This window comes from Homo sapiens, chromosome 6, assembly GCF_000001405.40.
Source record: "Homo sapiens chromosome 6, GRCh38.p14 Primary Assembly".
Classification (NCBI taxonomy): domain Eukaryota; kingdom Metazoa; phylum Chordata; class Mammalia; order Primates; family Hominidae; genus Homo; species Homo sapiens.
Window position 1 is genome coordinate 132,598,082 of NC_000006.12, and position 26,474 is coordinate 132,624,555.

The following is a 26,474-nucleotide window of genomic DNA, read 5'->3' on the forward strand; positions in this document are numbered from 1 at the left end:
CTGCTTTATCAGGCATGATTTTTCTCTTACTGGTTACATAGCCCAAACAATCTACTTCTGCCCCCATTTTCACAGAAATAATAATTTTATCTTACTTTGATATATCTCATCCTTACAATAGTGGCATAGGTAAGGGAAATTATTGGTAAATTAGATTTAAGAAAGATTTGCTGTGGGTCTTCCCATCATTGTTTCTTTCAAATCTCAGTGATTTAAGAAAATGACCCAGATTTATTTTTATGGGTCAGTATTTTAAGAGGGGTATCTTTCAACACACAAAAAATAGCAAACAAAGAAAATAAACCTATCTAATTTTTTTCTGTCCTAATATATTCTCCTTTGGCTTGCCAAAATTTGGCTAATTAGGCTGGTGAAATTAATATAATTGAAAGGTGAGTTATCTGTTACACTACGGTTTCTTACCAAGCAAATTTGCACTGTGTTCTCTTGTTGTCTGCCCTGCTCACACTCACATCCTAGGAACTTGGGGCCACACTATTGTAGGTAGGCTCCTAGCAGGCTGTGCTGCTGCCAGTATTTATGCCTAAAATATGCCTCTAGGGGCAGTGTCCTATGTCCTGCTTTTGACCCGTGTGTCTTTTCACAACCTTCGGTGTGCTGCCAGCAAGAGATTATAGTTAAGTCACCAGAGAAATGGCTCTGGGAGGGAGCTTCAGTTCTGTGCAAACATTGCTATGACCTCAGAGGGACAACAAGGACTAGCCTCACACAAGGCCAAAGGTAGGAAGAATGAAAAAGAGGGAAGGAAGGGAGGAAGAGAGGAAGAGAAGAAGGATGGGAGAGAGGAAGGAGAAAATGTAGCTGAAATACAACCCATGCTCCGTCCACTTATTACCAAATGCTTGATAATGCATTGATTCCATGAATTCTTTAATCTCTAGTGAAAGTTTGACTCATTTATATCTTTTTCCTGCCATGCAAAAGTCAGTGATATTCCTTCATACTGCAGTTCTTTTAAGTTCATAATTTTTCAAATAAAGGTCTTAGCCCAAGCTAAACGCAAAAAGAACAAGGCTTCAACACAATTGGATGAAAAGGGGACTCTTCATCACCACCACGGTATTTTCACGATCACTGGGGAAGACATTTCCATTAGTGTGCCATAATTCCAGACACTAAGCTTCAAGGAGTTTCCATTGATAATTTTATTATTCATCAACACCACACAGTTGTTTTACTTAAATACACAACACTTTGGAGAACAGCAAAGCTTTTCTTTTCTTTTTTTTTTTTTTTTTTTTTTTTTTGACGGAGTCCCGCTCTGTCACCCAGGCTGGAATGCAGTGGTGGATCTTGGCTTGCTGCAACCTTCACCTCCTGGGTTCAAGTGATTCTCTTGCCTCAGCCTCCCGAGTAGCTGGGATTACAGGCACCTGACACCATGCCTGGCTAATTTTTGTATTTTTAGTAGAGATGGGGTGTCACCATGTTGGCCAGGCTGGTCTCGAACTCCTAACCTCAGGTGATCCACCTGCATCCGCCTCCCAAAGGGCTGGGATTACAGGCATGAGCCACCGCTCCCAGCCCAAAGCTTGCTCTTGTAGAAATAGAAACAAATTATTCATATTTAAATCAACTGGTAAGGACTAACTTTATTATGTCCTCTGTGGATATTCTTCATGAAATTAAATGCCTTCGTGAATGGGGATGGCTGGAAATGTTGGATTTCCTCTATATGCTCATCTGGGTTTATAAAACTTCTCTTTCCAAATTTCTGTCTTATACTTAATAGTATATTTTTATAAATTTTGATTGCTTCAGTCAGGGTCCAGTCAGGAGAATAGAATGGAAAATTTTTATTTCAACAGAAAGAAGTTAATTTAGAAAATTAGTTTAAAATACATTTGAAAACTTAAAGAGCAAAAAGCATTTGTAAACAAACAAAAAATAAACCAAAAAAACCCTGATGAGGTTACTACTAATAGTAACTGTAGGAGGCATCTACCTCCCTAGATTGGGGAAAGAAGTAGTGGTTGAATTATCAGAACCTAGAAGCACAGAACAGGGGCCCCTCAGAATGTGTTCTCAGACTCCTGAGGGAAGGATGCTACCCAGCTACAGCTGGTTCCTCGAGAGTTTGGAAAAAGTCCCTTTATAGAGGCAAATTATTATTAGTAGTAGTATTGTTTAACTTCTTTTACCTAAAGAGCTGGTTCATTATTGTTTACAGTTTGACAATAATGTAAAACATTTACATGCCTTCTTTGAGGGAGAAGATCTGTTAATGGCTTTAGGTATTTGGCCAGGTCCAGGTCCAGGAAAGAACTCAAATGTTTCAATGGTATTTGGCTAAATAAGATGATTTGGCATGAAGATGACTCCTCAATGCTCTCCCAACCTGACAGCTTAATGCACAGGCTCTGAACTCCCCAATCGGCCATGAGGAGGAACTGCTCTGACAGCAATGCTGGAGCTCCATGGAGAATAAAATGACTCCTGGAATTGCAGGATTTAATGATTTCTAAAAGTAGGAACAACAAAGGTTAATTTGTAAAAGGAAAAACAATTACATGCTTTGGACATTAAAAAGACATGATCTTTCCTTGAGATTACCGTACCAGTAAACCACTCTTAACTGCTCATCCCCAAAGAAGAAAAAAACTAATATACAATAAAGATAAAAGGACAAAGTAAACAAAAAGAAAAAGAAAGAAAAAGGAAAGAAGGAAGGAAGGAGGGAAGGAGGGAAGGAGGGGAGGAAGGAAGGAAGGAAGGAGGGAGGGAAGGAAGGAAGGAGGGAAGGAAGGAAGGAGGGAAGGAAGGAAGGAGAGAGGGAAGGAGGGAAGAAGGGAAGGAGGGAAGGAGGGAAAGAAGGAAGGAAGGAGGGAAGGAGGGAAGGAGGGAAAGAAAGAAGGAGGGAAGGAGGGAAGGAGGGAAAGAAGGAAGGAAGGAGGGAAGGAGGGAAGGAAGGAAGGGGGGAAGGAGGGAAGGAGGGAAAGAAGGAAGGAGGGAAGGAGGGAAAGAAGGAAGGAAGGAGGGAAGGAAGGAGGGAGGGAAGGAGGGAAGAAGGGAAGGAGGGAAGGAGGGAAAGAAGGAAGGAAGGAGGGAAGGAGGGAAGGAAAGAAGGAAGAGACAAAGAAAGAAAAAACACACCAGACCAACAGGTACTCATAAACTGAAATCTTGAATTTTTAATAGAATTTTTTCTCATACACTAACTAACAAATAAATCTGAATTAAATACAAAATTCAAATGATTCAAATCAGATTTCTTTTACTTTATTGGACAAAAGCCTTGCAAAGTATATATTCATCTGTCCACATGTTTTATTTTCTCCCACCAGAATGCAGATAGCTAGAGGACAGGGTTTAATTCTAGCTTACCATTGTGTTCTGTGCTATATGCCCCTTGGTGGGCAGCAAGAAATATGTACTTTACTCAACCACAGACAAAGCAGTGATATAATACAATCACTGACATGCAGTAAAATACATTTCAAAAAATCAAACAACCACGGTATTTACTGATGCATTCTCATAAAGAAACATGTTTGTGGATATTTATTGTAACATTATTTGTTGTAGCAAAAGACCAGAAACAGTAGGGATCTAGTTAAATAAATTAGGATATTTCCAAATAATAGAATATTCTGTAGACTTTTCAAAAAATTTGGCAGGTCTATGTTTACTGACATAAAATGAAACTCTAATATGTGACAGTATGTAAAACAACCAAGATTAAAATTAGCATGTGTAATATTTTGCCATTTTTTAAAAGTGTGTGGGAGCAATATGTACATACAAGATTGTTTACAGATAGGCCTGTGTTTCTTACATATCTTAAAGAAGTGTCTACCTCTGAGGAGGATGTCTGAAAGACCAGAGAACAGAGATTAAGGAGAGACTTATTTTTTAGTGTGTAGACTTTGACTCTTTTTGAATTTTTTGAATTCAAAATATTTTTTGAATGAATGTGCTGAATTTTTTAAATTATGATTTTTAAAATAAGATTTTCTTTATTTTTATTTTTATCAAATTCTATTTAATTTAACTTAATTTAATTAAAACTTTATTTTAGCTGTAGTCTAAAGCAGCCATCCCCAACCTTTTTGGCACCAGGGACTGGTTTCTTGGAAGACAATATTTCCACAAATGAGGTGGGGGAAGATGGTTTTGGGATGACTCAAGCACATTATATTTATTGTGCACTTTATTTCTATTATTACATTGTAAATATATAATGAAATAATTATACAACTCACCATAATATAGAATCAGTGGGGGCCCTGAGCTTGTTTTTCTACAATTAGATGGCTCCATCCAGGGGTGATGGGAGACAGTGACAGATCCTCAGGCATTAGGTTATCATAAGGAGGGTGCAAGCTACATCCGTTGCATGCGCAGCTCACAATAGGGTTCATGCTCCTGTGAGAATCTAATGCTGCCACTGATCTGACAGGCAGTGAGCTCAGGCCGTAATGCGAGCAATGGGGAGCTGCTGTAAATGCAGTACAGATGAAGTTTTGCTTGCTTGCCTGCCCCTCATCTCCTGCTGTGTAGCTCAGTTCCTAACAGTCCAAGGACTATTACCCATCTGTGGTCTGGAGGTTGAGGACCCCTGGTCTAAAGGACCCTTATCTTTAAGTTTGTGAAGGCTTGGAATTAGGTATAGAAAATGACAATGTACAAGTAAAAACACTTTAAGAACATTCTGGAGCTCTAAGACCTTTAGAAGTCAAAAAAAAAAAAAAAAAGACAATACCAAAAAAATAAATACTGATCAGAAAGGATTAGGGCTATGGATTAAAAAAAAAATGTTTTGTTTTATTTTCATAAGAGTTTGCAGCAGGTTGTGCATGAACTAAAGAGCTCATAAAACTGCAAGCAGTTAACCTCAACCTCATTGAGATGTTTCAGATAACATTGCAATAAGAAACATGGCCTTGCTGCAGTTCAGTGACAAAGGGAGTTAAGAAAATTGTCGGCCAGGCACAGTGGCTCAAGCCTGTAATCACTTTGGGAGGCCGAAGTGGGTAAATTGCTTGAGCCCAGGAGTTCGAGACCAGCCTGAGTAAGATGGTGAGACTCCATCTTGACTAAAAGTAAAAAATTGGCCTGGTGTGGCAGTATGTGTCTGTGGTTTCAGCTACTTAGGAGGCTGAGGTGGTAGGATAGCTTGAACCCAGGGAGGTCAAGGCTGTAGTGAGCCGTGATTGTGCCACTGCATTCTAGCCTGTGTGACAGAGTAAGACCCTATCTCAAAAAAAAAAAAAAAAAAAAGAAAGAAAATTGTCAGCCATTATTTGGGACAAATCTAATGATGCAAAATTAGTATTCTTATTTAGTACAAACAATATATGGTCATTCAAAACCAGTTTTTCCCATTGTAAATCTTGGGATATGTGCATTTGCAGGAATGTATTATATGCATATGATTAGCACATTTTCTCTCAAAAAAAAAAAAAAGAAATGACAAGGGAAATCAATATCGCTTGTATTCATTTTGGAAATGATCTTTATATATTTGTCATTTATAATATTGGTAATGTTTAAGAGAATTTAGCATGTTAAAAGACTTAAAATAACTTTGTGATTACCACTTAGAATATATTATTAAATAGTTGATCTAGACATAATTTTTAAGTGGAAAGGCACAAGAGAAGTTTAAAATGTTTATAAAAGGTACTATAATTTCAGGAATCTTCAAATTCACTGTATTTGTAAGTAAGTCATTAAGTTTACAATTTAAGTATTATGGAAGTTTTTATGTGTCTGATAATTAAATCATCAGTAAGAGAACTTGAGCATTTTAATGTAATAAATTCAAATAAAATATTAAGGGAATTCAATTCACTGGTCTGTAATTGTCACTTGAAAGGTGTTAAAAGTTGCTAAATGTATATACAGAATAACTTCTGCTTATAAGTTATAATCATAAGTTAAAGTTTATAAATTATAAGTTAAATAAAAGTTACATGTTAAGTGAAATTTTAAGGAAGAGCTAGGTTTTTCAATATTATTTTATAAACGAAATATTGGTTATAAAAGCCAAAATAAAAACCAAAATTATTTTAACATATTTTTTCTTTTCTTTTTTTCTTTTCTTTTTTTTTTTTTTTTGAGACAGAGTCTCTCTCAGTCGCCAGGCTAGAGTACAGTGGCATGATCTAGGCTCACTGCAACCTCTGCCTCCTGGGTTCAAGCAATTCTCCTGCCTCAGCCTCCTGCGTAGCTGGACTACATGAGCGTGCCACCATGCACAGATAATTTCTGTATTTTTAGTAGAGACGGGGTTTCACCATTTTGGCCAAGACGGTCTTGATCTCTTGACCTCAGGTGATCCGTCTGTCTCAGCCTCCCAAAATGCTGCGATTACAGGCATGCGTCACTGTGCCAGGCTGACGTATCTTTTCTAAAAGCAAAAAGAACACAGAAAACTCAAACTGACAAACTGATCTTAAAAATTAAAAAAAAAATTAGCCAAATGGAAGAGGATGGTGAATAGTCCCCCACATAGGGCAAACGGGGTGAATGACTAACTGAGGAGGCAATGATTCCTTCAGAGGAGTGTGCAGCTGAGAGGAGAGATTCGACGTGCAAGGACAAAGAAGACCAAATTGAGTACGTACAAAACTTGATGTCTTCGGGAAGAATTTCAAAACTTTATCTCAGAGCAATGAAAAGCTATCTTTATCAGGTCCAACAGGAAACAGATGGCACAGCCAACCTGGGTGACTGAGGAGAGTTTAATAAAGGACCATTTACTAGGGTGTGGTGTGGGCAGTGTTTAAGGAAACCAGGAAAAAGCAGTCTCATAGCCAGGGGCAGCAATAGCAGGGAACCGCCACCTCAACTAGACCGAACGTGTCAGGGGAAGGAAGCAGTTATGGGAATTTTGAGAGGATGACTGCATGGAGAGGGACTCCAGATGGCCTTTCCTAGAGGAACACAACCAGCCCCAGGGCAATGTGGAAGAAAGGTTGCCTGGGATAAGTACCCGATTTCACCCTCCTTCCACCAGCTGATCTCCTGCAGGTGCTTCCCAATGGTAAACTGTCATCTGAAACCCTGAGAGGGAGAACTCCTTAATCCGGTTTGTACAGACCAGCCCCATGCCCAGACTGGGCGGAGAGGGCTTGGGGCCTGTAAAAGGACCTAGCATAGAAACTGTTTAAAATACTTAAGAGAAAAGTGTCAACGCCAGATAACTGCAGAATCGATTGGAAAGCTGTGAAACGGGAGAGAAGACAGGGGTGGAAGGGAAGGCATGTTACAGATGAGTTTCCAAATGAATATTTATAGTCTTTAATGAGTACTCAATGTCTACCTTAATGAATATACACAGATTCCGTATAACCTTACAGCTATCGGTTTCATTCAGCTAGTTAGCTAAGTCTATCCAAATAGATTACTGCACGCCTATCTAGGTAGATGTATATCTACAGACAGTTCTCATTCTAACAGCCATGTGCCAATGTCCCAACTGAAGCCAGCTGTCCCTGTACTGCTCCCTCCCCTCTTTAAATCCTCTAATCCTGCTTCCAGAGTAATGCATGGGCACACACACATGCACACACACATACACACACAAACATACACACTGTGAAGTTTTTAGAGTAAAGAAGTAGACACTACCTGGGTAATGGGATTATTTATATCCCAAACCTCAGCATCACACAATATACCTATGTAACAAACCTGCACATGTACCCCCTGAATCTTAGATAAACATCGAAGTTATTTTTGAAAGAGACTCATGCATCTGTATGTTCATCTCAGCACTATTCACAATAGCAAAGACATGGAATCAACCCAGGTGCCCAAAAACAGTTGATTGGATAAAGAAAATGTGGTATATATACACCATGGAAGACTATACAGCCATCAAAAGAATGGAATAGCATCCTTTGCAGCAACATGTATTAGCTGGAAACAATTATCCTAAGCGAACTAATGCAGTAACAGAAAACCAAATACCGCCTATTCTCACTTATAAGTGGGAGCTAAACATTGGGTACACATGGTCATAAAAATGGTAAAAGTAGACACTGGGGAATACAAGAGAGGACAAGGAGGGAAGTAAGCATTGAATAAAACTACCTGGAGTTCACTATACTCACTACCTTGATGACGGATTCATCCATACTCCAAACATCAGCATCGTGTGATATACCTAGGTAACAAACCTGATCATGCATTTCCTGATTCTAAAATTAAAGTTTAAATAAATATCCCTCCAAATTAAATAAATAAATAAGTAGAGAAACAAATAAGAATTTTTAAAACAGGAACTGAAAAGAAGCCACAAGTAGAAGGACCAGCGGGTATAAATGATCTATCACTACAGAAGTGGAGAAAGTCAATTTTAATGTCCTCACCTGTGAAGGGAGAGGCATGAGTGGGTGATGTCTACTGTCCTATGAGACTATCAGGAAGAAGACACTTGGCAGTTCTTCTCACCTTAATGTCCCTTCCTAGATAGAGCCAAAATTGTTCAAATGGAGATCAGCCTTTAGACTGGATTATCCTTTGGTAATTATGCAAAGGTAAATATCCTTTGGTAAAAATGAGAATATTTTACTGCTATCAATTACGCATTTATTAGGCACATTTACTTTTTGCCTAACAAGTAGAGGGAATAAAAACTGTAACGATGGTGACAGGGAGGTAGCCCTTACTGAATTATAATGCCCTTCGAGACGGAAGTTGAGCCTGGATAATTTTCCATGATTGGATCTAGGACAAAGAGTATCTGGGTATTGGGAGAGAAGAACTTAGAAAAGAGACAGGAAAAAGACAAAATTAAAATTTCCGATTTCAAAGTTTCACCTAAGGCTGACCTTGGTCAGGAGAAGGGGAACATTTGGCTGGGTGCACTGGGGGTGGATCATGCCTGTAATCCCAGCACTTTGGGAGGCTGAGGAGGGCAGATTGCTTGAGCCTATGAGTTCAAGACCAGCCTGGACAACATGACGAAACCCTGTCTCTACTAAACTACAAAAGGTTGCCGGGTGTGATGGCACACACTTGTAATCTCAGCTACTTGGGAGACTGAGGTGGGAGGATTGCTTGATCCCAGGAGGCAGAGGTTGCAGTGAGCCGAGATTGTGCCACTGGACTCCAGCCCGGGTGACAGAGTGAGACCCTGTCTCAAAAACAAACATACAAAAAACTTTAAAATTAAAAGAAAAGGAAGAAAAGGGAACATTCTACTCTCCTTCTCCTTCTCCTTCTCTTCTTCTCCCTCCTACAACATAATCCCAGGTATGAGGGGTTGTGGACATGACTGACATGTGTGCTCATGTATTTCCCAATTCATGAAGGTTCTATTGACCTCTTAATACTTCACAGAAAAATCACTGAAAAAATGTTCACCAAAGTTAATGATCTGATTTAGATCATAGGTATTATGGTGTCATGAAATTTGTTTGGGGGGTACCCTAAGGAAGACTTTTGGAGAAAGTGGTTGAAACAAGCACAAGGAGAGGCCTTGTGATTGCTGGCCAATCATGGAGACATACCAAGCAGATTAAGATTCTAGAGAAGCAGGAACCAGAAAGTCACTTCAAATGTAAACCACAAAGTTAATAATCGCAAAGGCAAAAGCTCAAATTGCATATGGTGATTCATAATCAACCTGCTTCACCTATGGCAGTAGTGAGCCTAAAGGTATCAGAAAATAACTGAATAGTTTGTAAAAATGATGGTTAATGATTCTCCCAAAACATATGATAAGGCAGGCCGCTAGTTGTTAATAGAGGTCAACCTTAAGGTACACTTCCTTCATGGACCCACAGGTCGCATGATCTTCCTTTTCCTGAATTCCTAGAATGGTATCAGATAGGAACCAAAGCCAACACTTTTTAAAAAATTCTTATATTGCTTTTTAATTATCTCATGTATGTAAATCTAGGCCAACCTAGTCTGAACTATGTTTTATATTTCTTTCGTACATTTTCCCTACCAGTCAGAGGTGAGTGTGGATTGGAAGTGGGTTAACAATTAACAAATAATTGAGTAATTGATTTACTAGTCAAAGATAGTGAATGTACCTCTTGTGTAGGTGATAGAACACTTAACGTTGATTACTGAAATTTAATAGTATCATGTTTGCAGTGATCTGGGGATGTAAGGTATGTGCTGCAAGTCAAAATAATAACAATCTCATTTGCAATATTCTATTCACTTTTGCAACAGCTTTTTATTAATGTGCTTCAGGAAACAAATTTGCAGTTTCTGAATGGGAGCTAAATATTTTTCCTGACACTATGTACTTGAATGCTTTCTGAAACCATGGATTAAAAAAGCCATGAATAAGAGGGTTGCAAGTAGAGTTGAAGTACCGGAGCCACACTAAAAGATCCAATATTAGTATGGGAGTGGAGTAGTCTAGGTATGGGTCAATCAGAACAGCAAGAAAACAAGGCAACCAGCAAGCCAGAAACACCCCCATTACTATACCCAGTGTCTTCGCTGCTTTCCTGTCCTTTTTCTTGGATAGGTGTTTTTTCACTGCCCCCTTTGTGTTTTCAGGCACATGGCTGATGACTCGAGCATGCTGTTTGGAAACGATAAAGATTTTGCCATAAATACCAACCATGATGGAGCCAGGGGTAAAGAAACATGTAGTGAACAATATTGTCCCCCAGAATTTGTTGAAAGTAAGGGCACAGAAATTGAAGCAAGCAACAAGTATCTTATAGCTCTGCATACCGGAAACATCGGCCTCAGATAGAACTAAACCAAAAGAAAAAAGAGCAGGAACTGACCAGCAAAATGCCAGCAGTTGCTTTATGGTGGAGTTCGTCATTTTGGTTGTGTAATGTAAAGGGTAACACACGGCATAAAATCGGTCAATAGCAATGGAACAGAGGTGGAAAATGGAGGTCAGTCTGAGCATCATGTCAAAGCTTGTGTGGAATTTACAAAAGCCATCCCCAAAGTACCAGCAACTCTCCACTGATCGCATTATGCTGTATGGCATAATGACAAAACCCAGCAGAAAGTCCGTGGTTGCCATGGAGAGGATCAGAAAGTTTGTGGGAGAGTGAAGCTGTTTGAAATGCGATATGGAAACCATTATAACCAAGTTTCCGAATAGTGATAATCATGGCTCCAGTCATAACCGAATACATTATCACCTGGACATGAAAAGAGCGGTTGGTGGGAGGACAGGATTTATTTACAAATTTTGGACAACTGGATAGGTCTTCGGGAATATAAGTTAGATCCATGGTGCTTTATCCCTTGAAATTTCTTTCCAGGAGGATGAGTCACTGTTTCTTCTCTTCTTAAAATGATTCCAGTAAATTTCAGCTCCTAATAGTACAAGATTGTTCAAAGTTATCTATTATTAATTCACTTCAATTGTAATTTATTTAAATATTTTAAATTATATCAACTGTGTTTGCTTTCTGAGTTACTTGGTACGTTAGAAAAATGACAATTTTCAGCTGTGTATTCTTTTCTGTGTTATTCTATTTAACTCCATTTCATCCATCTATCCATCCATCTATCCAACATAGGTTTATCTATTGACTGCTTTATTCCTGGTAAGGAAATGGGAGATTTTCAAGAATGTTTGGGCAACTTTCACTTTGAACAGATACATTCCTATAAACTGTTTTGAATGTGGCTGCTAATATCTCTTGCATCATAAAAATTACTCAATACACAAAAACCAAGTGAAATACCAAAGTTTTTCTTTAGGCATTCTTTTGACAATTTGAAATCTTCATTTGTAAACAGTGTGCAAATGTTTTAAGAGTTATAAATGGCATATTGCTGCCGAAACATGCAGTACCATGAAACATGGCTGTTGAAAGCCATGTACCTATGGGTTAAAACATGCACCTGGGTCAATGCTTCTTAGCTTCTCTGTTTGCTACTCTCTTCCTGTCCTTCCCTCTGCCTCTCCTGTCCTCTACTCTTCATGCTCCTTCCCTTATTTCTTAAGTCTTATAGCTTCTCTGAGATTCTAACTAGTGAAGCCATGTCATATGTTCCATCCCTGAGAGACCAATAAAAATTACAAATTCCACACTCACAGACCCAGTTACTCAAATCTCACATGACTCCTTTTGGTCACAGTGGGCTGAATAAAGGAGGGTGGACAAATGGCATAAATAAAAACTTCCAATAAATGGTCACGCTTGCTTTGCTATTTGCTTCGGAATACACATCAATCTGAAAAGCCACTCCCTAGCAGCCTCAAGAGAAGCTTGACATTGTGCCTATAACAAAGCACAGAGTCTGCTTAGTGGGCCACAGAAAAGCAGGCCCAATCTTGAGTGAATCAGACAGAGGAGACACCCTAGGCCTATGTTGAATTCTCCCAAGCTATATAAAGACTCAACTGCAGGGTACATTTAACAAGTTCATCTATTTAGGCAGATTCAGTTTAGTTTGTGCTTTAGAATCCTAAGAAAGAGCACAGAAATAACCCCCAAGAAAGAGCAAAAACTGGCCCCTTCCTCATCTCAAGGTGCTAGAAGTTCCCTTCCTTTTTCTTGATTCTGTCATTCTTCCTGACCGACGGGGAAGAAAAGTCACCTCGTTGTGATAAAAGAACCTGAATTTTGCTGGTTAGAGACACTTCTTATTACCAAGTCACAGGAAGGTGTCTCCTTGCAAAGTCTTAGGAGGACCTTTTATAGAGCTGACTGTTCCATGTGACTCCCTTGTTTCTCTAGGTTAAAAGTTTACATCACTGACTTCCAAAGAGGAGGTAGCAAAAGAGCCTTGCGTTGAGAGTTCTCCTAGTCCAGCTTCTGCCATCAGCCAGCTGTGAGCCCTTGGTGATGGGAGGTGTGCAGGGCTAGATGAGCCTTGCAGGCTTTCCAGCTCTGAAAGTCTGTGAATCATTCGTAACAGAAAGTTGGTTCATATTAGATCATCTTCTTGTAAACAAATAGGAAACAGAAGAGCAGAGAAACAAGATGAAAGAAAAATAGGAAATAAAGTTTGGGACTCAATGCGGAGATTCTATGAATGGTACTTGCAGTCCTGGGACATGCCTGATCAATATTAGTTATCATTTAGCCATAAAAAAGAATGAAATCTTGTCATCTGCAACAGCATGAGTGGAACTGGAGGACAATATGTTAGTTGTAATAGCCAGGCATAGAAAGACAAATATCTCATGTTCTCACTTATTTAGGGAGCTAAAAAAAAGAAAAAAAAAAAAGCATTGAACTCATGGAGATAGGGAGCAGCATGATGGTTATCAGAGGCTGGAAAGGATAGTGGGGAGAGGGGGATAAGGAGGGAATGGTTAATAGGTACAAAAATACAGTTAGATAGAATGAATATGATCTAGTATTAAGTAGCACATTAGGGTGATTATAGTTGATAATAACTTATTGTATATTTTAAAATGACTAAAAGAGTAGAATTGGAATATTCCTAATGCAAAAAAATAATAAATGCTTGAGATGATGGATACTCCAGTTACTCTGGTTTGACCATTACACATTGTATGCCTGTATCAAAACATCACATGTACCCTATTAATATGTACAACTATTATGTATCCATAGTAATTTTAAAAATTTTTAAAGGAAAAGTTGATCGGGCTCAGGATAGGGTACCCCAAAATATGGCACCTTGGCATTTGAGGAAATAGCGGAAGCAAGTTTACTCTGGCCTTCTCCCACTTTTTCCCTGAAGCAGACCCTAAAAGAATGATCTGGTCTTCTCCTAAAATAGGTCATAAGACTCTCTTGTGTCCTATACTCAGGGGAAAAGAATGTCACACAGAAACATCAAGAAGAATTTGAACAAACAGGCCTTGTTAAGTTAGCCCCCAGTTTATTACTACTGTATCATATCCTTTTGTCATACTTTTGCATGACTGTTCAGAAAAATACACAGTTTTTAGAGTTTTGAGGCAGTATTCATTTTCGAAGTCTCCTGTGTCATGTAAAATTTATATTAAATAAATGTGTGTGCTTTTCTCTTGTTAAAAATTATATTGAGGATATGTTTCTCTCCATTATAGGTAGTCCTCCACTCATTGCCTCTCTTTATTCTTTGGTTTTCACCAAGGAAATGTTGTGAACATCTAGCCTGGGCCCCATTTGAGCACATTAGTGATAGCCTTAAGAAATAATTGTTGAATTTATATCTGTGTTAAAAAATATATTAACTCACCACCATGAGACAAGTAACTTGTCTATCCATCACCACTGGATTCTCAGTATCTAAGTTAAGGCTTCTAGTATACGCTAGAGATATATGTTTGAATGAATAAACATACACATAAATTGTAAATTATTACTGCTTTAAAAATATCTGTGTTGTTTCAATGAAAGCAACTAATTCAATGTGCTTAAAATGTCCCTATAAATGAATGGACTCGTTTCAGGAGCACACTTCATGAAAATTTCTTCTGGTATTGAATTGCTGATGGTATTCTTATAAAATAACCCCTCCCAAAGTAGCATTTAGACAGGAGGAGCTGAGAGATTTTGTGTAGATATAATTTACTGATCCTATAGCATGAGAAAACCAGAGATTCTGAGTCTGGGCAGAGATAGTGTTAGTAGAAGAAAACAAAAGTGGAAGTATTTCAGCTAAATGCAGTTGGGAGGTGCTGCTGCTAGTGGCATGACACCCCTCCGTGTCCCATTAAGGTGTGAAGATGGGGTTGTCTTGGCTCTTTTCAGTCCCATATGTAATGTTTGCACCTTATCTACCACTTAGAGGAGTTGGGGATTTTCTTCCAGTTAAAACTCACATACTCTCAAAGATAAAAGGAAATTTTCTGTTGCAGAATACAGACTTGCAGTTAAACTCATACAGTATTTAAGTCCATGAATACATACGCAGTTAATGATTACACAGGGGACTCTGCCACACCCTAGTTGCCCCTATGACCTTATTGATCACAGTCACGACATTTAAGCAACCTCACATGGGTCTTACATATAAGTAACTGTTCCATGTTTTAAGTATTGGGATGATTCTATAAGATGTTTCAACATGCGATCAAATCTTTCACTATGTGCAACTTCCTATACACATAAGGGAAAATTCATATACTTTCAGAACTGGAGAAGTCCATAAACGAAATATTTACAAAGATATATTATGTGATGCAGTTTCTAGCCTCATCGTTATCTTAACATTCCACAGTGGGGCATCTGTCTAGTAAGAACACAATGAGGCTCACAATAACCAGCTCTAACAAACTAACAATGTTCTTTTGGAAAACTGTATTCTAATTTCCAGATAACTGATTTGCAAATAAACTTTTACTGTTTCATAACCTGTTTATACGTTCAAAGTTGACATGCAGATCTTTGCGGCCATTAACATTGTTCCTGCCTTCCTCCCTGCTTTTCCTCATAAAAATTATGCTAGCTCCTTTAATTTTTTTATGGAGGCCAACAAAATTTTTATGTTATCTATTATGTTGAATCACATAGCCTCTATGGAATTCTCATTTTTTAAAGTTACAAATGTTCAAATATTAATAATTACAAATAATTTCCCACTGGGACCTTTTCCTTTTCCTCCTCAAGTTTTAGTTTTAAGCACTGACTAAGGTTGGCATATCTCCAGCCACATACATTTGGAAAAAGTCAGATTTGCAATGCAATATATCATGGAGTTAATACTTGTTGAAGAGAATCTTTGATTGTCTGGACACATTCATTTTAGTAGGAGGCAGAGATGACTTAATAGCAACACCAAGTTAGGAATCTAATTTTCACAGCCTTCCAGGATGAATACCATATAACTTGTAGTAGACTACAATCTGGTTCTGAGCATAGAGGCAAGCATTTGTACATGTGCTCTACATGGCACCAAATAAAAGTGACACTACTGCCATAAAATATGTTCTCCTCTTCTAGGATCCACCTATTTGGGCAAAGAACTTAACAATTGCCATTGCCACCTATGTATGTATGTACAAGCATATAAATAAATGTAAATTATAATTTCCTTTCAGTTTTCTTTGTTGGAAAAACAGATAAGAAAGATCAGCAAAGGAAGATATGAGCTATTAGTGTTCCACTTCTTCAATATATTAACTCAAATTACATGTACAAAGAAGCAGATTTTTAAAGGTTTCTCATTTGAACACAAATTTGGATAATGTCATAAATAATTCTCCTTTAAATTCTAACAGCCCTAGGGCTCTTGGAATTTAAGACTGAAATCTAAAATTATTGATACATAATGCCAAAGAGGAAAGTGCATTTTAGCATTGTTGAAATACCTAACTACATTTACTGAATCATGTCTCGCATAGTTCTTGTACTTTGCAAAAGTATTTTATATGCCACTATATAAAAATTTACCAACCTTGTCAAATGAATTTTGATGGAAAATTTAAGACCTTTTACCAGAAAATTATAATGATTGTTTTTTAGTTAAAAACTATCTTCTCAATTGCAACCCATTTCAACAATTTCTGATTCTTTATAAAATACAACTATCACTATTCAATTATTTTGAAGAAGAGAATAAATCAGCAATAATTTAAAAAGATTAGAACATTTCCAATTCTTTTTATTGACCCAGTACCTTCCCTTTCCTGAAAAGTTAGTTGTGAATCAATGACCGTCCTCTTGTGGCTTTGCAGGTGCGACATCAGGAAATTCCAGAAAGTTTAGTGTAGAGGATTAAGGTATATGATTCATATATAAGTTTGCTTCTGCTCTCAGGAGAATTGGAGTAGAGAACTCAGATCCAGGAGCTTCCAGATAGGCACTAACTGTGGAGCCCCAGTGGGACTGCTCTTTTAACTTTCTCAAGGGATATTGAAATACCCTGGGTTTTTTGTTCGTTTGTTTGTTTTGGTTTGGTTTTGGTTTTGGTTTTGGTTTTCTTTGAGACAGAGTCTCACTCTGTCGCCAGGCTGGAATACAGTAGTGCGATCTCAGCTCACTGCAACCTCCGCGTCCTGGGTTCAAGTGATTCTCCTGCCTCAGCCTCCCAAGTAGCTGGGACTACAGGCACACACCACCACGCCCAGTTAATTTTTGTATTTTTAGTAGAGACAGGGTTTCACTGTGTTGGCCAGGACGGTCTCCATCTCTTGACCTCATGATCCGCCTACCTGGGCCTCCCAAAGTGCTGGGATTACAGGCATCTCTGTGTGTTTTTAATGACCCAGTTTGTTTTATTTTTTTCCAAATGAAAGGCAATTTTATATCTGATTTCATGGTCATTCTGGAAAGATTAAGTACAGAAGTTTCCGTATATTGAAAATACACAGGTTTGTGGGCTCAATTAAATGCTGGCTAATATCCAAGGGAGGAATAATTGTCTGAATCATAAAATGTTTCTGTTTACACTTTGATTCCTGAATGTAACAAGAAAGTATTGGGATGTGAGAGAATTTTTATTTTTACTTCAGTGATTTGTACAAATTTGAATTTTGAAAATCTTTATTTAAAAAAAAAGCCAGTTAAAATGTCACAAATATGAAAAAAATTAAAAAGTTCAGTAAACAAAGAACACAGAATCCAGGGTAAACCACTAAATCCCCCAGGCTCAGTTTTCACATCTGTAACTTACTACAAAATTCTCGGTGTTGAGGAACATGATTTTACTAATCCTGGGAAATGAAGACAGAGTGAATGGTAGAAGGAAGCCAGTATACAGGACACTGGATCACTCTGTCATCCTCACTAGAACACAGCAGGGTGATTATGTTTTGAAACATAAAAGGACATTGAAAAGGTACTGACAGATTTACTTTCATAACCACACCTGGATATAACTACTCTCTTCTTGAAAACTCACAATTTTCATTGCTATAATGGAAATGAAGAAATTAAACAAGGAATATTTCAGTGAAACACAGTTCACTACCATGTATAAACACACACACACACACACACACACACACACACACACGAGATATAACTGAAAATAAAACTTCATGAGGCTATACTTAGCCTCGGTGCAAGTGATATATTTTGATACTATCTATTTTCTTCTATTCTAATTTGCTTTTCATTAAAAATATTGTTCACAGCCAGTGGTATGCTGGAACCACCCATGATTATTTTCAAGAGAAGTTTTTTAACATTTCAGGACATTACATTTATAGGTTAAAATCACTCATAAGGAAAGATTTTTTAAATGTATATACCATGGAAATCATCAAACTCTACAAATTAGGACTGTTCTTTTTAGAGCCCAGTGTTGAGCTTAAACCAACACATCACTGGTCACAGCCCATCAGTTATTAATGAGTCTCAACCTAAAGTTAATAATTTTCTTCTTTATTTCTTCCTCTCATTCCTCTGTTATTAAAAAATACATGTATAAATATCAAGCAAAAAGGAATGATGGATTGAAAACAAAACTTTAGTAGATATTCCACATTTATTAAAACACCAGAACACCAAATAGCAATACAAAATGTGGATGAGCCTACGGAGGAAAGGAAGACACTGGACAGAGTTCTACTGTATGTAACATGGGAACTAACCAGCTGCTGTGATTAGGATGGCTCCTGAATGAAAACCTGCCTGGAGTCTGTCGCCCCAGTTACTCAGTTTGCCATTTCTTCTTTTAGTTAAGAAACGTTTGTTCTCACAACAGCAGAATCTAGTAAAGGCTTAACTCTCAGCTAACACATAACTGACTCCTGGAAGAATATGAGTTTTTGAAATTGTTATTTCCATATTTACTTACCTATCATTTTTAGTTGCTGATGCTTCAAAGTACATCTGGTAAGATACTGAGGAACAAAAATGAAATGGGAATATCACACAAAGTGTCTGTGGTGGGGAGGGAGACAAGCAGTTCCCAAGCTCAGCCTATGTTTTGACCCCTTTTGAACAGTATAAAAGCTTTTGTGTGTCCTCTTTGTTCCATCTCTGGCTTTCCCCCATGTTCTCTTTACTTTTCTAATTTTCTTTCTTTTCTCTCTACCAGGAAGTAGTGGGTGTGTAAAGAATTCTGAAAACTATTGGAGGGATTCTTGGCTCAAAGAGAAGCTTCCTTTTTTTATTCTCGTCTTAGAAACCAACAGCTTTCTATGGTAGCTAAAATAATACACACATGCACAAAAACACACATCTTAAACAACTTCATTCTTCTAAATTCTAGTTTTTTGCTTCAATTTATTCATGCAGAAAAAGCCTACTCACTTTCTTTTTGCATACACAAAATAGTATTATGGAAACATGAGCTGAAAATTTTACCTAGCAAAATGTACTTCAGTGCTCTGCGAAACCAGGGATAGAAGAAACCATATATTAACGGATTACATGTGGAGTTAAAATAGCCAAACCATGTCAAGGCATCAAACAAAACTACAGGAGTAGAGAAGTTCAAAAAGGGATCCAATAAAATTGTGAAGAAACAAGGAAACCAACATAATAAGAAAACTCCTATCACTATTCCTAAAGTTTTGGCAGCTTTTTTGTCTTTCTTCACTTGATTATTTTGATTTTCTCGCAAGTTATTGATGGCATGAGCATGTTTTCTGGATACTGCAAAAATTTTGCCATAAATCCCCACCATCATAGACCCAGGAGTGAAGAAACCTGCCATAAACAAGGTGGTCCCCCATAGCTTGTTGAACATCACTGGGCAGGAACTGGAACAAGCAACCAAGATGTCATAGCCCTCTATTCCATCTGCATAGGCCTCTGAGAAGACCACCCCGAAGGCAAATGCTCCAGGGACCGACCAACATAGAAGTAGCAATCTTTTAATGACTGGAATAGTTATTTTGGTGGAATAAAGTAATGGGTAACATATAGCATAAAATCTATCAATGGCCACTGAGCAAAGATGAAAAATGGATGTTATGCTAAGCATCAGGTCAAAACTATAATAAATCTTGCAAAATGTAAGCCCAAAATACCAGCAGTTCTCCACCGATCTGATCATACTATATGGCATGATGGTGAATCCCAGGAGGAAATCAGTGATGGCCATGGAGAGGATGAGGAAGTTGGTTGGTGTGTGAAGCTGCTTGAAGTAGGAAATGGAAATTATCATGGCAAGATTGCCAAATATTGTGATGAATATGGATCCTGCCATAAATGAATACATAGCCACTCGGACACCCAGAGATCTTTCATTTTCTGGGCAAGATCTATTTCCATATTCAGAGCAATTGAATTTTTCCTTCAAAAAACAAGAACAGATAGAATTTTGTCAGAATATAAATATTCTATGTTTTATATATGCTTTCATAGAAAAACTCAAGAAAGGCAGAGAAGAATCAAGGAAGATAATTTATGCTGTAATATTACTCATGATCTTTCCCATTTACTTATTTTAATCTTTATTTGTAATTTTGTAGAATTGTAACCTAATTGGCTTAAAAGATCATTATTGGCCAGGTGCGGTGGCTCACGCCTGTAATCCCAGCACTTTAGGAGGTCGAGGCAGGGGGAGCACTGAAGGTCAGGAGTTTGAGACTAGCCTGGCCAACATGGTGAAACCCCATCTCTACTAAAAATACAAAAAGTAGCCAGGCATGGTGGCATGTGCCTGTAATCCCAGCTACTCGGGAGGCTGAGGCAGCAGAATCGCTGGAACCCAGGAGGTGGAGGTTGCAGTGAGCCGAGATTGTGCCACTGAACTCCAACTTGGGAGACAGAGAGAGACTCCATCTCGAGAAAAAAAAAAAATCATTATTTACTCCATACTTTCCTCTATACTACCAACATTTAGGAAGCTCTTACTTTATGCCAGGCTTTGAAATTTAAAAGAAGAAAAAACAAATTATTGAGCTGTATCTTACGTGTGTAGGAAGAATAGATATCTATTAGACAATACATGTACTTCTTCCTCCAAGGAGTCAGAAATATATAATCAGATTTGATTTGATTGTGATCTATTACCTGTGGGATCAGGAGGTTATTATTTGAAAACAATTTCATTCTTGTGTTCTATTATTTTCACTGTGCTGTGTTTTGTTTTATTCATACGAATGTTGTTTTAAGGGGGAAGAATCATCTAATGACCTCTAATTATCTGGTAGAGTCAATCTATAAGGCAAATCATGAATTCTTAACAAGCATGGCATCAGCCAAAGCAGCTAAGTCAGAGGTGGGCACAGACCAAAGCTGGACCACCCTCAGTTACTTGTGAAGAGCAAGTGTAACTCAGAGCCCTATGCAATGACAGCTTGACAAGTTGCCATGCGTAGGCCACACACAAGGCTATGAGCAGAGGGCTAGAGAACTTTTAGAAAGCAAGCCATCTCTACTACAAGAAAATTAAGCCCATGCCCTCCTTGTGTTGGGCCAGAATGCTCATTTTACATATTAAAATCTGCATGTTATTCTTTCCATATATATTTGAAATGTAACACGTTCATGAGTTAGAATGATTTTCTTTTTAAAAAGTACATTAGGTAAAAAAGAGCTGCCTATATGCAAAGCATAACTCTTAATATTGAAGAAATGCCTTTGGCCTTCAGTGACCTCACACATATCAGACCTTACCAGTTACCAAGAGATAAACAAATAAATTACCAGCCTCTGTGATATAAGAGTGTATCACAAAGAGAGTAAGACATTTTTCTTGAATGTCCACAATATGAAAGATACAAGGAAAGGAAGAAGAAAGCATGAAGGTCAACCCTGCAGCAGAGATTCTACAATGCAGCTGAAGAGACAAAGCACATCAACACTTAAAACCTACATGATTCTGCACCTCAGATGAAAGCAACAGCGGCGATCACCTGACCAAAAAGAGATCCAGGCAAAATGTACAATCCAAGATCAAAAATGGACAAGATCTTTTCAGGCTGGACTGCACAGGAATGTTCCAGCAAGGATATGACTTTTGATCTGGGTCTCAATGGGTGAGTAGGATTTGAACAGAAGAGAAAAAGCCTGTTCTACACAGAAGGTATGATGAAGAAAAGACACAAGGCTGTATGTGTTCCGAGACCTTCTAAAAGGAATTCTCAGGGACCCCTAAAACACCGCAGAGAGAATACAAGGTGGAGGGGAGTATAGAGGGAGAGAAGAAAGTGCTTCTAGTTTCATTGTTGTTCCTCAAGCCAGTGTTCTTAGCCAGCATTAGTCAAAAGAGATTTCCCATTTTGTTCTTAAATTTGGGTAATGATTTTTTTAAATTAAAGTAATTAAGTTAGTTACAAGAGAGTGAGTACAGATTTGAAATTAAAAGCTTCCTCCAACTGATGCCAAGTGGCGACTCCAAGGCAGTTTTCTCCTCGTTATTCTTCCTCCTCAGGGGCCTCGTCCCCACTTGCAGAGAACTAATGGCCTGGTGTATGATGGGACGTATTTGAGCAATAGAACTAAACATCTTTATATCTGCCACCTGGGTGATTGCATACCACAAAATAGAAACACTACCAAACTGCATTTGAGGTCTCTGCCGACGCCCTAAATGCTGTTTACAGAAACAGCTGACTTATTCATGAAAGAGTTTCATCAGAACAGTTTTATCCAGATCTGTCTAAAATGTGTACAACCAGTTCTTAAACTATATTCATTTTTAACAGCTGAAATGGGGGTTTCTAACCAAATACTGCATGCTCTCACTTATAAGTGGAAGCTAAACGATGAGAACTTATGAACACAAAGAAGGAAACGACAGACACTGGGGTCTACTTGGGGCCAGAGCGGGGAGGAGGACGGGAGGAGGGAGAAGAGCAGAAAAGATAACTATTGGGTACTGGGCTCAATACAGGGGTGATGAAATAATCTGTACAACAAACCCCATGACACGAGTTTGCGTATGTAACAAACCTTCACATGTACCCCCTGAACCTAAAATAAAAGTTAAAAAAACATAAAAATAAAAGTTAAAAAACACACATTAAAAAGTAGGGGTTTCTAATATGTGCATATAGCATTTTGCTATTCCTAACATTGTCACACACAAAAAAAAAGACAGAAAGAAAAAAGAAGAGAAGCGAGAGATTTTCCTCCCTCTTGGTACTAAGGTTTTTAGCTACTTGTCATTTCTTGTTAGCCACCTACTGACCAGTTAGGCATCACCAGAGAAGAAAATACTGAGAGAAAATGCAGTATTATCAAAAAGAAAAAAGGATTTCTGACCATCTTCAGTATGCTCATTAAAAAGCGTAGGAAATCCAAAGCAAATTTTGTTGGTTTATTTTTAAATCACTTTACTTCTTAGAAAGTAAAGCTAAAAAAAAAAAAACAACAACAAATAACGAACATCCTTTTAAAACACATACAACATTCTTGTGCTTAAGGCAATTTAACAACAACAGTACTTTTTTTTCTTTTTCTTTTACTTTAAGTTCTGGGATACATGTACAGAACGTGCAGGTTTATTACATAGGTATACATGTGCCATGGTGGTTTGCTGCAGCTGTCAACCCACCTTCTAGGTTTTAAGACCCGCATGCGTTAGGTATTTCTTCCTAATGCTCTCCCTCTCCTTGCCCCCCACCCCCTGACAAGCCCTGGTGTGTGATGTTCCCCTCCCTGTGTCCACGTGTACTCTTGTTAAGCTCCCACTTATGAGTGAGAACATGTGGTGTTTGGTTTTCTGTTCCAACAACAGTATATTTTAAGATTTAATTGCCTGCAAACTTCTTTGTGTTCCTGGCTTAATCACTTTGATATTATTAATCATCTTGCACCCACTCTTGTTAAAATCATGCAGAATCTTTCTAATTCTAAAATCATAGGCTACAGGGCTTGACTAATTTTCCCTTTAACTGTCAGAAACTTTAATTAGATAATTAGTTCTAAGTACTAACGTTCTTGAAACACATAATATGATGTCTACATTCACACTTGAATTCCTCATACACATGCCACAAAGTATGGAGGGGTATATCAGATGATTATTTGATGAATTCATCAAATAATAATTTTAATCCCATTTAAATATCACATCCCCCATAATTTATTTGACATAGTTCTTTCATGTGACATCTATCATCAGTTTGAACCTTTCAAAAACCGTATCTTTCATATCTTTCATATTTGTTGTCTAAGGAAAGCTAAATGTAAAAGCAGTATTTTAAAGGCTATAGCTTTCAAGGGTCATTTTTTCTATTTTTAAACTTGTTAACATAAGCATCTATAGATACATGGATTGCCATAGAGTTAAATGGAATGTCAGATCTTTTCGCCATTACTGTTACGTTTCTAAAAGAAGCTCAGACACAAAAAAATAAAGATTTGTAACATAATGAATTGTTTGCCCATTCTGCTTGTGAATAAATAAATTTTATTCTACTAAATTGTTAAAATAAAAGTGTTTTCTATATTCCCTGAGAAAGTGATCAAACTACAGAACCATGACCACAATGACAAAGAATTTTCTATTTTTTCTAATTATTTATTATTATTATTTTTTCTTTTTTTAAGGGGTAGGGAGGAGGAAGCAGAATGTTCTGATTTTTCTTTGTGATGTCTTTTCTTTTTGCCTAGTCTTTATATTTGATGATTAATGCTTCATTGGTAAATAAATATTCCTCTGCTTTAGTAACCACTTTTTTTTTTTTTTTTTTTTTTTTTGAGGCGGAGTCTCCCTCTGTAGCCCAGGCTAGAGTGCAATGGTGCAATCTCGGCTCACTGCAACCTCCATTTCCCAGGTTCAAGTGATTCTCCTGCCTCAGCTTCCTGAGTAGCTGGGACTACAGGCACGTGCCACCACACCTGGCTAATTTTTGTATTTTTAGTAGAGACACGGTTTCACTGTGTTAGCCAGGATGGTCTCCATTTCCTGACCTCATCATTCGCCCACCTTGGCCTCCCAAAGTTCTGGAATTACAGGCGTGAGCCACCACACCCTGCCTAGTAACCACTTTTAAGACTTAATGGATTTCACTATGTCTTTCTGCCAGCTAATCATTGTTTCTCATTTCCTTGAATTATTTTGCCCTTACCCAAGCTGTTGATTTCTTTTGATTGTTCAATTTCTATCAAATATTTAAAGTTAATGAATCTTAACATATTAAATGGATGGTATAATATATAATATGAATAGGCTTAGCGTAATGCCTGATATATAGCACACTATCAAAAGAAAGCTACTTTCTTTCCCTCCCTCCTTCCTTCCTTTTTTCCTTCCTTCTTTGTTGTAAATAATTAGCAGGTTCAAGTACACATTTGACCAGAAAAGATTTCTCCTAAGAAAAAGAGGAAATGGGATTGTAAGGAAAAAGGCCAGGTAACTGTCAATACTTAAGACAGTTATAAATACTTAATAGTTAAGACAGTGATAGATCATTTGCTCAGCCACTTATAAGGAGGTAAGCTTTTCCAGGATTCTAAATATTCTTCCCAGGAAACTTGTTACACTGCCAGAAGGCAGCATGTTATTTCGTTCACATGTTAAAATGACTGCCTTTTATTACAAATTCATATTAAGTCCTGCACCTTCCACAATCTTCCACATGCCTACACATTCTCTCTGCACAGGACCAAAATTCAAAAAGGAAGACCTAATGCAACAGCAATCGACGGCATTATCAGGATGGCAATTTACTTCTTAAGAAAACCTCAAGGAAGAGAAAACACAGATCTTTGTTTCATAATCCCTCATCTTCCACATACCGGCAGAAGATTCCATTGTTAACTCCTTACCGAAGGAACTTTTTTCTTTGTTTCTTCTCTAACTACTGTTAATGTGTATATGGAACCAGAAGACCTAAACTATGTGAGTTGTGCTGATTTATAACTTAACAATTCGTCTTAAGGGGATTAAATCTGAAAGTGAAAAAAAAAAAAAAGAAAGCAAAATCCTTGTCATTCAAAAGTTTAACAGCTCAATGAGCTTAAACCACTCCTCCATCCTCCCAGGAGTCTCTGCTTACCTAAGATTTTATCACCTACAGCATTTAAGGCTCTAAGTCTGCTATTACATAAAGGCTGTGAAAACAAATCTGAGCCCTTGAGTTATGGGGGGACCTAAGGAGCCTGATCTCAACCACACATGGATGGGACCTCTGGTTCAAGCAGAAGAATGCGCATGTGTCCTCCATCATTTCAGAAAGATCTGACAGTCACAGTCCATATTTTGTCTCACATGCTAGTCACTGAGGCTTTACCCATTGTCTTCCTCATTTTTTCTTTGATAAATGTGATTAAAAGAACACATTTCATCAACCCTTTTAGATCTGGAGGAATTGAGCATAATTATTATCTTTGTAAATAATTCACATGTTTATGCCAAAATCTTCTCAGATGCTACTGGTTTAAACTTAGTCATATGTTTAAGGGCCTACCTTTTTTGTCTGTGTTCTTTTGAAATGTGAAAGTTCATGTTGCTCTGATGAGACAGCCATGGGAGGCAAGATACCCCAGATGTAGATGAAATATAACCCTGGTCATTAGAAGAAACTGGGGTCCTGCATGAATAAAAATTACAGTGCTCTGTGTGATCTCCGTTGGCTCTGCCTACGGCCACTGCTTGGGCGTGCAGATTGTGCCGTCATAATGGAAGCTGAGCTTTGAAGAAGTCACGCTTAATGCTTTGATGCGATCTCTTGAAATTCTTAATAACTTTCTAACAAGGGGCTCTACATTTTCATTTTGTACTGGACCTTGTGAAAATACATAGCTAGT

At 37.8% G+C, this 26,474-nt stretch overlaps 2 protein-coding genes and 1 pseudogene across 4 annotated transcripts in view; all 3 read right to left on the minus strand.

Annotated features, from left to right (window-relative positions):
- The window catches only part of TAAR5 (trace amine associated receptor 5), a 28,156-nt gene extending 9,490 nt beyond the window's left edge, over window positions 1-18,666 (minus strand). The window contains exons 1-3 of the mRNA NM_001389527.1: window positions 18,619-18,666; window positions 11,103-11,280; window positions 10,423-10,519 (exon numbers count right to left, since the gene is read on the minus strand). The gene's annotated coding sequence lies outside the window, so the exon portion shown is untranslated. The remainder of the gene's footprint in view (window positions 1-10,422; window positions 10,520-11,102; window positions 11,281-18,618) is intronic.
- TAAR3P (trace amine associated receptor 3, pseudogene) lies at window positions 10,144-11,221 on the minus strand (annotated as a pseudogene). Its single transcript, NR_028511.1, has one exon. The product of NR_028511.1 is annotated as a trace amine associated receptor 3, pseudogene (transcript).
- Window positions 18,667-19,068: 402 nt separating the features above from the next.
- On the minus strand, window positions 19,069-26,194 carry TAAR2 (trace amine associated receptor 2). 2 transcript variants are annotated; one of them, NM_001033080.1, is made up of 2 exons: window positions 26,135-26,194; window positions 19,069-20,064 (listed from the first exon to the last, which is right to left on the minus strand). In NM_001033080.1, the coding sequence occupies exons 1-2, from the start codon at window positions 26,192-26,194 to the stop codon at window positions 19,069-19,071; spliced, it is 1,056 nt and encodes a 351-aa protein (NP_001028252.1). The 2 variants fall into 2 exon arrangements, with proteins under 2 accessions (NP_001028252.1, NP_055441.2); NM_014626.3 differs by lacking the exon at window positions 26,135-26,194 and having other exon boundaries at window positions 19,069-20,012.
- Window positions 26,195-26,474: the final 280 nt, after the last annotated feature.